Genomic DNA, 13895 nt, shown 5'->3' on the forward strand with positions numbered 1-13895 from the left:
CGTTTTACAGATGAGTCAGCTGAGACCCAGAGAGGTTAAGCAAATTACCTAAAATCACTCAGCAAGTAAGGGATAGAACCAGGATTCACACTTGGGAAACTTGTGTGTGTTTGATCCCAACACAGGAAAGAAAAAAAAAAATGAGGGTACAGCTAGGCACTTGGTTTAATGTAGCTCATGGGCCAAAGACTTAGGAGGCCACTAAGTTAAGAGTATAATGCTTTAAAAATTTGAAATAATCTTGATTTGCATTTATAAAAGTACAGCACCCAGATTAATGAATTTGATAGTTCCACAACTTTTTTTCTGCATCAGTTTTCATTTGCGTATTCTGTTCAGTCTTGAGTATTATATTTTAAAGGAGCTTGAAATTAAAGTACCTGTATTATTTTTCTATTGCTCCCATAACAAATTATCAAAAACTTTGTGGTTTAAAAACAACACAAGTTTATCTTATAGTTCTGTAGGTCAAAAGACCAACATGGGTCTCACTAGGCTAAACCAGGGTGTCATCAGGGCGGACACTCTGGGGAAAAATCAGTTTCCTTGCCATTCCTAGCTTCTAGAGGCCACCTGCAGTCCTCTGAGGCCCCTTCCTCCATCTTCGAAGCCAGCGAGAGCTAGTCAAGTCCTCCTATCACATCTCCCTGACCACAGCTGGGAGGGAAAAGTTCACTGCTTTTCAAGGATTCATGTGACTAGGTTGGACTCCTCCGGATAATCTCCCCATTTCAAAGTCCTTAAACGTTAATCACATCTGCAAAGTCCCTTTTGCCATGGAAGGTAACATATTCACAGGTTCTCAGGATTAGGACATGGACATCTTTGAGGGGTGCATTATTTTGCCTATCACGGTGCTTGTTGCAGAAGATCCCCAGGATAGTGAAGGGGTCAAATTGGACTCAGAGAGTCAGACTGAAAAGAATTAAGATGATCTCCAAATTTATTGCCTGGGAGAGAATAAAATAATGTTCATAAAGTGATTAGTGCAGTAAGTATGTAATAAATGGTTGCTGCTTCAAAGGCTAATGGTAGAAATTACAAGGCTGGGCGCAGTGGCTCACACCTGTAATACCAGCACTTTGGGAGGCCAAGGCGGGCAAATCACCTGAGGTCAGGAGTTTGCGACCAGCCTGGTCAACATGGTGAAACCCCGTCTTTACTAAAAGTACAAAAATTAGCTGGACACGGTGGCGGGCGTCTGTAGTCTCAGGTATTCGGGAGGCTGAGGCAGGAGAATCCTTTGAACCTGGGAGGCAGAGGTTGCAGTGAGCCAAGATCGTGCCACTGCACTCCAGCCGGGACAACAGAGTGAGACTCTGTCAGAAAAAAGAAAGAAAAGAAAGGAAGGAAGGAAGCAGGAAGGAGGGAGGGAGGGAGGGAAGAAAGGAAGGAAAGAAGGGGGAAGGAGGGAGGGAAGGAAGGAAGGAAGGAATAAAATAAAGAAATATGGTAGCTCAGAAGGGAAAGAAGCTTAGGAATGTGGCAAGAGATGAAGCAGTATCATATTTTATCTTGCAAAGAATAGAATTTGGGATCCATGTTCTCACTTTACATCAGATCAGCCGGTGGTTTGAATGTCAGAAAATACTACGTTTACCAAGAACTTTCTTTCACTAGTAAAAAAGTCAGGGAGAATGGAGATGGGGGAGGACTATAGTGGAGAAACAACTTTCTGGCCCTTTTCTGCCATGATTGTACAATGTATAGCTTCTGAGGAGGAAGGGAAAGTTGTCTTTTTGTTTTTTGTTTTTTGAAATGGAGTTTCAAAAAGGAGCCTCAGCCTCCCGAGTAGCTGGGATTACAGGCACCCACCACCACACCCAGCTAATTTTTGTATTTTTAATAGAGACAGAGTTTCACCATGTTGGCCAGGCTTGTCTTGAACTCTTGACCTCAGGTGATCCGCCCGTCTCGGCCTCTCAAAGTGCTGGGATTACAGGCGAGAGCCACTGCAGGTGGCTGGGAAAGTTTTATGAGAGGAAAGCAAGATATTTGAAGCTCAGAGGACTATCCTTTTCTTTTTTCTTTTTTCCAGGAACATATGGGAAAGAAATCCCCTCGGAAACCAAAGCCCAGCCATCGGAGATTTTAAGATTTTTCAGGCTTTCCTTATAATCTTCCTTACATTTGTCTCTTTAAACACATTTAAGTCGACCTTTGAGAAGTTGCTGATAAGCAGTTATCAAACAAGAGTTAGAGTAACAAACCCTCCCACCTCGCTGTGTTGGTTGGTAGCTTCCAAGGCCACTGTAAATGTGTATCAGTGTGAACCTGATCCAGAAACAGCCAGGAAGGGAGCAAAGTTTAGTTTAGTCTGTGAGGAAACTGGCGGCTGCTGGTAGTTCCATGCTGTCTGTTCAGACTTCAGCTTGGTGTAAGTAGTTTTTTTTAAAAAAAACTATTATGACATTTTCATATAAAAAGGATTGTAAGAATAATTTCCATCAAAGATTAAATCAAGTTTCTACCTGGCTCTAAATCTTAGGGATTAGAACTACTGAAAAGAAAGTTTCAGCACTCAGCAGTAGTTTTATTTTTTTTTAATGGAAAAGAAAGCCGTGAGGTGTATCAGCAAGTGTGCTGCTAAAACAGGTCCCGTGTGCACGAAATGATTTCTAATGTCTTATGTTGAGTGCAAGTGTTTACAGTTAGAAAATAAAAGTGAGTATGTACCTAGTGCCGAGAGATTGTTTCTAAGCAGTGCTTAGATTTATCCTCATGTTCTTTCCAGTTGCTTTTCCTCTGGTTTAGATTCATAGTTACAGATTCATGTCAGCAAATATTTAGCAGTCTCTCAGATCATTAAATTGGAGGTTTTGATGTTCAAAGAAATTAAAAGAATGAGAATAAAGTAGAACTTAATATCCTGTAACAAGATGTTGGGATCCAAGATTTAAGAGCAGCAGAATGTATTTTCAAAGAGGAAGAACTTTGTAAAACAGAAGTGGCAAGCAGCCTGAGGTTTCACGCAACTTCGGAGAAATCTGTTTTCTTAAGATTTGACATCTGTATGGATTTTTCAGACTAAATTCCCAGTACTATGGTGCGTAAAATGAGTTTCATATATGAAATTAGAGTTGCCGTGTTTCAGCTCTTCTGTCTTGAGATTAGGATCCAGGAACTACACATTGTTACACAAACATATTGACTTTATTAATGCAGCCATGAGAATGTTAAGGTCGCATGTGGTGTTGGAAAGGTTGGTATTTTCTATTTCCCTTTTACCACAATGCATTTTTAAAAAACCTGGTACATGACAATTATATGACTTTTAACTATATAAAAGGTCGAATTAGCCAGTAGCCTTTTTTTTTTTTTTTTTTTTTGAGACGGAGTCTCGCTCTGCAGTGGCACAATCTTGGCTGACTGCAAGGTCCGCCTCCCGTGTTCAAGTGATTCTCCTGCTTCAGCCTCCCAAGTAGCTTGGATTATAGGCGCCCGCCACCATGCCTGGCTAATTTTTTTTTTTTTTTTTTTTTTTTTTTTTTTTTTTTAGTAGAGATGGGGTTTCACCATGTTAGCCAGGATGGTCTCGATCTCCTGACCTCGTGATCCACCCGCCTCGGCCTCCCAAAGTGCTGGGATTACAGGCGTGAGCCACCGCGCCCGGCCTAGCCAGTAGCCTTTCAAATCACTGGAGGAGTGCTCAGAAGAGAGATTATTTATATAGACGTTCACTGGGTTTCCCCTTCCTCTGTCTTCATCTCAGACCTCAGTCTGTTTCTCTATCCTGCTTCTTGTTTCTGCTGTACTGAGCGGGAGCTCAGATCATGGTGCTGGGCCCCAACTGAATCTCGGTGAGATGGAATCCAGGACGCGTTGTCCTAAGGCTCTAGGGCTACAATGAACTGAAAACCTTAACTCACCCTCTAGCTTTCTGAATCTCGTGATTCTAGCCTCTTGAGCTGATTAACTTCTCCAAGTCAATAGCTTCTGCTGGGCCAAGTTCCTCATTTACTTGTTGGTTGAGGAGAAGGAGTGGAGGGCTGGGGGGTGTCCTGGGAAAGAAGCCAGTGTGGCAGGTAACATTGTTACTAGGGAAGCAGCTATTTTTCTCATGGGACTTGAAATGTTTCAGTCTTTTAACAACCTGGAAGGCCATACAGGTGTGTACTAGCCGCATGGTAACAAGCCCCTTTGAAAACAATGTTTTTAACCTCCAGTAGGTGCCCATACCATCCAGACCACTGCTCGTGCCCTACAAACCAGCCCTCAGGATCTGGCTTTCAAGCATGTGTTTTACATCATTGCCTGCCATTGTTCTCACTCAGGTTGCTCTAGCTACAAAGGTGTTTTGCTTTCTCTTGAACACATCAGACCTGCTCTTGCCTTAGGGCAGCTGCTGCCTAGAAAGCTCTTCCCCCTCATTGTTTCTTCCCAGCCTTCATTCGGGTCTCTATTCAAATAGCTCCTCCTCAGAGAGGCCTTCCCAGACTACCCTAACTAAAATGGCACCCTACTCCACTTCCACCATAACACTTTTTTTCTTTTAACCTAATTTACCTTTTTTTTTTTTTTTTTTGAGACGGAGTTTCACTCTTGTTGCCCAGGCTGGAGTGCAATGGTGGGATCTCGGCTCACTGCAACCTCTGCCTCCCGGGTTCAAGCGATTCTCCTGCCTCAGCCTCCCCAGTAGCTGGGATTACAGACATGCGCCACCATGCCCAGCTAATTTTGTATTTTTAGTAAGGAGATGGGGTTTCTCCATGTTGGTCAGGCTGGTCTCGAACTCCCGACCTCAGGTGATCTGCCTGCCTTGGCCTCCCAAAGTGCTGGGATTACAGGCGTGAACCACTGCGCCTGGCCTTTTCTTTTCTTTTCTTTTTTTTTAAGTAGCCACCTGGCAGTATTTATTTTATAAATTAAAAAATGTGTGTACATATATGTATGCCTGTGTGTGTATGTGTGTGTGTGTTGTGTTATGTAGGATATATATTTGGTCTTTCCCTCTAGAATGTAAGAACTTTGTCTTGTTCAGGGCCATATTGTCAGTGCCTAGGATAGTGCCTGCTTGACATGTAGTAGACACTTGGTAAATCGTTGTATGACAACTGGTGTCATTAAAATTTATTTCCAACCATAGGAATTTTTTGAATAGATGATATATTCACATTTCCAAGACCAAAACATATCAACTTCCCACTCCAGCCAGTTCTCCATCCATTCAGCTCCCATTCAGGGTCCCCAAACCACGGCTATTATTTTTCCATGTATCTTTCCAGAGTTTCTTGATATATGTAGTAAGGAAATATAAAAGTATAAATAGATTCTTATTTCCCTCCTTTTTACACATAACATTATACGTAATGTTCTAAATGTTTTCAGTTGTAATATATGTTGAATCTCTTTCCATGTAAGTACATAGAGAGTGTCCTCATTTTTAAATAGCTGCCTACTAATCCATTGTACGGATGTACTGTAATTTATATAACCAGTCACCTGTTGATAGACATTTTGGTTGTTTCCAGTGTCTTCCTATTGTAAACAATGCTGAAGTTCATAGCCTTGTACATGTATCATTTTATACATGCATACAGTATATCCATATGACTAAATTCCCCAAAGTAGAATTACTGGATCAAAAGGTATCATAAATATTGCCTAACTGCCTTCTTTAGGGATTGTACCAATGTGTACTCCCCCCCCCCATTATAAGAGTACTGTTTCTCATATCCTTGCCAACAGAATCATCAGACTTTTGGATTTTTGCCAGTTTGATAGGTTAAATAATGGTTTCAGCATAGTGTTTGTTTTTTAGAATTTACAATAAAATTTGTGTTGAAGTTTTAAAAACTAATTTTCATTTTTAATTGTGGTTAAAAATCCTATAACATAGGTAACCATTTTTAAGTGTACAGTTCGGTAGTGTTAAGTATATTCACGTTCTTGTGCAACAGATTTCCAGGACACTTCTGTCTTGTGAAACTGAAATTCTATACTCATTAAATAACAACTCTCCACTTCCTCCTCCTGCTAACTCCTAGCAACTACCATTCTACTTTCTGTTTCAATGAATGACTAGTAGCTATCTCATGTAAGTGGAATCACACAGTAATTATCCTTTTGTGGCTGGCTTATTTCACTTAGCCTAATGTCCTCAAGGCTTATCCGTGATGTAGTATATGGCAGGATTTCCTTCATTTGTAAGGTGAACAATATCCCATTGTATGTATATGCCATGTCCTGTTTATCCATTCATTCATCAATAGATATTTGGGTTGCTTCTACCTCTTGGCTATTGCGAATAAGGCCTCTGTGAACATGGATGTGCAGATATCTCTTTGAGGTCCTGCTTTCAGTTCTTTTGGCTATATACCCAGCAATGGGATTGTTGGATCATATGGTAATTCTATTTTTAATTTTTTGAGGAACCACCATACGTTTTCCATAGCAGCTATACCATTTTATCATAGTTTTAATTTGTATTTCTTTCATTATGAGAGGGGTTGAGCATCTTTTCATATTTAAAATAAATGCCTTTTTCTTCTGTGAACTCTTCATATTCTTTGCCAGTAATGGAATTTTTTTCCTATTTTTAATTTGATAACATTTTTTGTTCTTGTGCCCTTGAGTTTTCCAAATTTATAAGCTAGTCTAGTAGTCGTACATACAGGTATGGAATAAGACTACCTGGGTTTGAATTCTAGATCTACTAATAGCTGTGCAATCTTGATTGGACAAGTTACTGAACCTTTCTGAGCCACATTTTCTTATTTGTTAAATTGGAATAACATTGGATTGTTGTAAAGATGAGATGATGTATATTAGATACTTAGTATAGGGCTAGTATGATAAGGCAAAAACAAAAAAGGAAAAAGAAATTAAAAGACCTAAAGTGCAGAAAAGAAATAAAACTGTCATTAACAGATGACATGATTGTATGCATAAAAAACCTTATACAATCTATAAAAAAAACTTGAACTAATTAATGAACTTAGTAAGGCCACAGGTTAGAGTCAACATAAAAATCATACTAGAAACAACAGCTAAAATAGGTGAAAATATCACCATTAAAAATATCTGGCTGGGCACAGTGGGCTCAAGCCTGTAATCCCAACATTTTGAGAGGCTGAGCCCGGAGGATCACTTGAGGCCAGGAGTTAAAGACCAGCCTGGGCAACATAGCAAGACTTCATATCCATTTAAAAAAATTAAAAATATGAAAAAAATAGAAAGAAAAAGAGGCTGGGTGTGGTGGCCCATGCCTATAAACCTAGCACTTTGGGAGGCTGAGGCAGATGGATTGCCTGAGCTCAGGAGTTCAAGACCATCCTAAGCAACATGACAAAACGCTGTGTCTACAAAAAATACAAAAATTAGCCCAGCATAGAGGCACGCACCTGTAGTCTCAGCTACTCAGGAGGGTGAGGTGAGAGGATCGCTTGAGCCCAGGAGGTGGAGGTTGTAGTGAGCTATGGTCATGCCACTGCACTCCAGTCTGGGTGACAGAGTGAGACCCTGTCTCAAAAAGAAAGAAAGAAAATAAGAAAAAATACCTAACACACAGGAATAAATCTTTCAAAAGAGCACAACACCTCTATACTCAAGACTGTAAAACATTGCTGAGAAAAACTTAACAACTCAGAAATAGAAAGTGCAATATATATATACCATGATCATGGATATAAATTGTTAAGGTGCCATTTCTCCCTAAATCAGTCTGTAGATCTAATGCATTCCCAATCAAAATTTCAGCAGGCAATATTGACGAAATTGACAAGCTATTTCTAAATTTTTTGTGAAAATACAAAAGATATACAATAGCTAAAACAATCTTGAAAAGTAACAAAAAGGTAAATGACTTATAATACGTGACTTGAACACTTAACTCTGAAACAATAATCAAGACAGTGTGATATTGCCTTGAGGACAGGCAGATTTGTCGGTGGAACAGAATAGGGAAATCAGAAATAGATTCACACATATAAGGTCAATTGATTTTTGATCAGGTGGTGAGTCAGTTCAATGAAAAAAGAGTAGTTTTCTTTAACATGTTGCTGAAACAATGGATTTTCTTTTTTTTTTTTTCTTTTTTTCTTTGAGATGAAGTCTCGCTCTGTCACCCAGGCTGGAGTCCAGTGGTGCCATCTCGGCTCACTGCAATCCGCCTCCTGGGTTCAAGCAATTCTCCTGCCTCAGCCTCCCGAGTAGCTGGGATTACAGGTGAGTGCCACCACACGTGGCTAATTTTTGTATTTTTAGTAGAGACGGTGTTTCACCATGTTGGCCAGGCTAGTCTCGAATTCCTAACCTCAAGTGATCTGCCTGCCTCGGCCTCCCAAAGTGCTGGGATTACAGGCATGAGCCACCTCGCCCAGCCAACAAATGGATTTTCTTATAGGGGGAAAAAATTTCATGCCTCTCTCACTCTACACAAAACTGCAATAGACATGGATGTACTGATAAATAGACATGGATCATAGATCTAAACATAGAACCAGAAACCTTAAAAAAAAAAAAACAGCAATCTTGGGTTATGCAAAGATTTCTTGAGAAGGACACTAAAAGCACTAACCATAATAGTACATTAAATACAATTAAATGAACTTATTGCAAGAACTTCTTAGGACCTTTAATATGTTAATGTTTCTAGTAAGAGGACCATGCAGCATTTTCTAAAGTGTTTGATCACAGAATCCTTTATTCATCTGGAACATGGAACATACTTGGAGAAGTGTTGCTTTGATTCTCTCCTCAAAATATAGTATTTTTGAGAGCTATAATAAGCCCCCTCTTTGATACAAAATAATGTAATTGGATCCCCTTCCCTTCAACAACTCGAGTAAAGAAAACCCTTCTGCCCAAAGAGCTGTGATTACACCCCATCCCCTATTTGCTGGTTGGCCAGCCAACTGTTGCAGTTACTCTAGGCTAATGTCACATTACAGCAGAATTCACCCTAGTAAGAGGGGCAAAGAGTGACTAAAGGTGCAAAGCATTTTTCATTTTCCTTGCTGCAGGTTCCATATATATTGTCCCTCAGTATCGGTGGAGGATTGGTTCCACGACCTCCTAGGGATAACAAAATCCAAGGATGTTCAGATTCCTTATATAAAACCTATGTAACCTATGCACATCCTCTCATATACTTTAAATCATCTCTAATTATTTATAATACCTAATGCAATGTAAATGCTATGTGAATCATTGTTATACTTTATTATTTATGAAATAAGAAAGCCTATACATGTTCAGTACAGATGCAATTTTTTCCCCAAATATTTTCAATTTACAGATAGTGAGGAGGATAAGGAGGGCCAACTGTACTGGCTTGGCCTGCTCAGCCCTCCTCTCTCACTGCCTAGCAAACTCCAGGTTATTAACCCTTTGCTTCTCTGTACTCAGCTCCTATAGTCCTAGTTCCTAATGGCTTGAAGGGCTGTAGACTGACAGTCTTTATGCATTCTAGATTCTGTAGCATGCCTGGTCTCTGACTCATAGTTTACTGATGAATCAGATTCCCCTACCTGCTGTTGCTGCCCATGAACTGAAGTTTTATGGAATATGAGTTGTCACATAAGAAGTAGGAGAGGAACCAGAAGAGAGAGTAGAGGCCAAACTTCACCTTAACCAGAATTTGACCCAAGGCCCATCCTGTTCAGGAAAATAAATCTCAAAAAGAAGTCAAAATGGAATGTAATGTCAGAATAAATATAAAAAGAAAAGAAATTGGCTGGGTGTGGTGGCTCACACCTGTAATCCCAGCACTTTGGGAGGCTGAGGTGGGCAGATAGCTTGAGGTCTGGAGTTCAAGACCAGCCTGGCCAACATGGTGAAACCCCATCTCTACTAAAAATACAAAAATTAGCTGGGCATGGTGGCACATGCCTATAGTTGCAGCTACTCAGGAGGCTGAGGCAGGAAAACCACTTGAACATAGGAGGCGGAGGCTGCAGTAAGCCGAGATGGCGCCATTGCACTCCAGCCTGGGTGACAGAGTGAGACTCTGTCTCAAAAAAAAAAAAAAAAGAAAAGAAAGTTTAAGGAATAATATTTCTGGATTGTATTTTTAAAATTGAACTACTGTTATAGATATCAGTTTCTCCTGAATGTGGAAAGCTAATAATGAGATATGGAAATGTCATCAATGTCATCTGAATAGGGCTTACTAGATAGACTATACATGACTGGAAGTTAAAAGGCTTTAACTTTAGATCTGCCACTAATTTGCCTTTTGATAGCAAAATATACTCTTTTAAAGAAAAAAATTATTGCCCTCCCCTTATTACAAAAAAAGTATGAATATATGTGTGTTTATGTCTGTATCTATGTACATGTACACCAGGATCTGTCCTAGATACTTCCTCATGTGCCATCTTATTTAATCATCTGTCTGTGTCTCAGCTCCTCAACCTGGAAAATGGGATAATAATATCTCATTCTGCCTTCCTCACAGAACAACAAACGTGATTATAATGAAACAATAAAATATACTACTTTGAGCATGACTCTGTAATTTAAAGACTAAATCTTTTTTAAAAAAAATTTTAAATAAAAATAGAGATGAGTTCTCACTATGTTGCCCAGGCTGGTCTTGAACTCCTGAGCTCAAGTGATCCTCCCACCTCAGCCTCCCAAAGTGCTAGGATTACAGGTGTAAGCCATCGCAGCCGGCCTAATGACTCGGTCTTTAATGCCATGTTGTGAGATGCGTAGCAGTGGTTTCCATAGCAAAATGATGTGATGAATCCTGGTAAAATTCATTTCAAAATACACTTGCAATACAAACTTAGAAGAAGCAACTTACACAGGATGTTTCACAGACACTCACAGAACACCTGGAAAGTACAGCAGCCTTTTCTCTAATTTTCAATAAAGGCAACACAAAGTAAACACACGCTTTACGGTATTTTATGACACATCTCATCTAAGAAAAATGGGCAAGAGAAACACTTAGGCAAATAAGTGGAGGCAGAATGCCAACGCAGATGATAATGAAAAGAATTTCACATCAGAACTTGAAAACTGATTTCGGGCCTGTGTTAACATAAAATGGGTGTTTAGAAGATGAGAAATTCCACAGAAGGCATATAGGGGGTTGTAGGAGGTGAAAGGAAAGAGGCTTATATAACTCTAATACTTATTAACCTGGACCTAGTCACTGAAACTTGATCTCTTTTCTAGCAACCTGATTCTTTATTATTTATAATCAGAAGGTTTAAGAACTACTGGGCCTCACCTCTAGGCTGTCTTTCCATTGTCTGTCCAGTTTTCAGAATTTAATAATATGGTGGGGGTGGGGAGGGGACACAATAGCTCCCAAGTATCTAGGAAACTACAAATTTTCCTCACTAAAACTCCCTAAAATAACTAGGTTAACACAAACTAGGAAACAAGCTCATCAAGGAAAGACCATAAAAAGTCATTCACTGAAAAATTGTAAAGGGCTGCCTGTATAAACTATTATCTGAAAAATGATTTGATAATGAGACCCATAGGAATAAACATGAAAAGCAATGGCCAGTCGCAGCGGCTCACACCTGTAATCCCAGCACTTTGGGATGCCAAGGCGGGCAGAAAACTTGAGCCCAGGAGTTCGAGACCAGCCTGGCCAACATGGTGAAACCCCGTCTCTACTAAAAATACAAAAAATTAGCTGGGTATGGTGGCGTGCTCCTATAATCCCAGCTACACGGGAGGCTGAGGCAGGAGAATCTCTTGAACCCAGGAGGCAGAGGTTGCAGTGAACCAAGATCGTGCCATTGCATTCCAGCCTGGGTGACAGAGTGAGACTCTCTCAAAAAAAAAAAAAAAAAAAAGACATGAAAAACAAGTGGCTCATATGGGTGTTTTAAGAAACTGTAAAAAAGAAAATAATTTTGCTAGAACTTTTCCCAGTCAAAAGGCTCAAGAATCAAGTGTTCAAACAATGTACTTAAGAAATTATACAAGAAATGACTTAGAAGCCATAAGTAGCAAGTTGGAAATTACTAACATATAAGTGGATGTTAATAGTGCTGGTTCACTGAATAAGGAAAATATTATGAAAACCTTACAACTTAGTACAGAAGTTGCCTTCATTATATAACATTACCCCTATGCCTATCAAATTAATTCTTCAATTTTGATATTTTTTATTTCTAGCATTTCTTCTTGATTCTTTTTTATACTTTCCATCTCTGTGGTCAACTTCCCCATTTGTTCATGCTCCCCTTTCCTGCTACATCCTTTAACAGAGGGAATAATTGTGATGGCAGTTACATGAATCCACATATAAGTTAAAACTCTTAGAACTATACACCATAAAAAGTCAATTTTACTTGTGTTAATTTACAAAGAATGAGATTCTGGCCTGTTTAAAGCAAAAATAATAACAATGTATAATAGAGTTAAGAGTGTATAAGGAAGTAAAAGACATAATAACAAGAGCACAAAAGGTGGAAACAAAATAGTGTGGTATATGAGGTATAATAAGTGTAATAAGTTAAAATTATAAAATGCTATCTCTAGGCTGGGCGTGGTGGCTGACACCTATAATCCCAATACTTTGGGAAGCTGAGGCGGGTGGGTCACCTGAGGTCAAGAGTTTGAGACCAGTCTGGCCAACATGGAGAAACCCCGTCTCTATTAAAAATACAAAAATAGCCAGGTGTGGTGGTGGGTGCCTGTAATCCCAGGTACTGAGGAGGTTGAGGCAGGAGAATTGCTTGAACCAGGGAGGCGGAGGTTGCAGTGAGATGAGATCGTGCCACTGCACTCCAGCCTGGGTGACAGAGCGAGACTCTGTCTCAAAAAACTACTAAACTAAACTAAAATAATGAAATGAAATGAAATGAAATAAAATGCTATCTCTAGAACAGTGTGTTCTCGAAGTGTGTTCTGCAGACCAGCAGCATCAATATTACCTGGGATCTTGTTAGAGATGAAATTTTTGGGCTCCACCCCAGGCCTAACTGAATCAGAAACTCTGGGGGTATGGTACCATGATTTGTTTTTCTGTGACTGTGATGCATGCTAAACTTTACAAAACATTGCTTTAGAGCAGGGGCTGGGAAATTTTTTTCTATAAAGGGCCACATATAAATATCTTCAGGTTTTGTGAGCCATGTAGTCTCTGTAGCAACTACCTAATTCTGCCATTGTAGCACAAATGCAGCTATAGACAATAAATAAATGAAGGAGAGAGGCTGTGTTCTAATGAAGTGTTATTTGTAAAAATAAGCAGCCAGCTGGATTTGGCCCGTGGGCTATAGTTTGTCTACCTCTGCTTTACAGCAACTATTCACACACAGATACAGCTAAAATGGTGAAAAGAAAATAAAAGGAAACATTAAAACATACAGACAGCCCTCACTTAGTTATATGGGACTCTAAAAATGATCATGCAAGCTGAAACTATGCAAAGCAGTTTTAATAACCAATGGGAAAAGTTATTATTGTTTTGTGACCTTTAATTATTTCTTTTCCTTTTTTTTTTTGTCAAAATATATTTGGTAAGGGGTGGAGGGGAGGTGTCTTATTGACTGGAAAGATGCACCAGGGAACTTTCTAGAGGTTATAAAAATGTTTTAGGTCTTGTTTTGGGTGGTGGTTACATGAATGTATAGCATTGTCAGCATTATACTGAGCACGAGATTATGAGTTTAATGTATGTAAAGAATATATAATCAAAGATTTTTTAATGATACAAAAGGTGTGGAATAAAGTATGCAGTTCACATTAGGTGACATTCTTATTGCAAATAAAACCTGATGTAAACTATGGGGTACTTCCCTGTATCCAAGGAAAAGAGGCGACAGGGCACTGTAGGGAGAAGAAGCAGTGAGGCCATGCAGCCTAATAGGTTGGGAGAAGGAGCAGTTGCATTTGACTAGAGTGAATATTAAGGAAGTGGCAGGAAATGAGGACAGAGAAGTTGCTAAAGACGCATCAGGAATGGCTTTAGGTACCAA

At 39.5% G+C, this 13895-nt stretch overlaps 1 protein-coding gene across 6 annotated transcripts in view, besides 1 other annotated feature; it reads left to right on the plus strand.

Annotated features, from left to right (window-relative positions):
• MAP3K13 (mitogen-activated protein kinase kinase kinase 13) overlaps positions 1–13895 on the plus strand; it is a 206134-nt gene that overhangs the window by 43625 nt on the left and 148614 nt on the right. For 2 of the 6 annotated variants that reach the window (XM_011513310.3, XM_017007457.2), the window contains exon 1: positions 2310–2377. The exons of the other annotated variants lie outside the window; for them this stretch is intronic. Coding sequence is in view for 1 of the 2 variants with exons in the window: in XM_017007457.2 (XP_016862946.1) it covers positions 2350–2377 (28 nt within the window). In the remaining variant the exon portion in view is untranslated. Of the gene's footprint in view, positions 1–2309; positions 2378–13895 lie in introns of those variants that run through there. 6 annotated transcript variants of the gene reach the window in all.
• Positions 6041–6100: an enhancer, noted in NCBI's record as "active region_20922". NCBI's record gives its function as "activates an Ori minimal core promoter by ATAC-STARR-seq in GM12878 lymphoblastoid cells {active_cell/tissue: GM12878}" and the evidence as "EXISTENCE:reporter gene assay evidence [ECO:0000049][PMID:35858748]".

Source organism: Homo sapiens, chromosome 3, assembly GCF_000001405.40.
Source record: "Homo sapiens chromosome 3, GRCh38.p14 Primary Assembly".
NCBI lineage: Eukaryota > Metazoa > Chordata > Mammalia > Primates > Hominidae > Homo > Homo sapiens.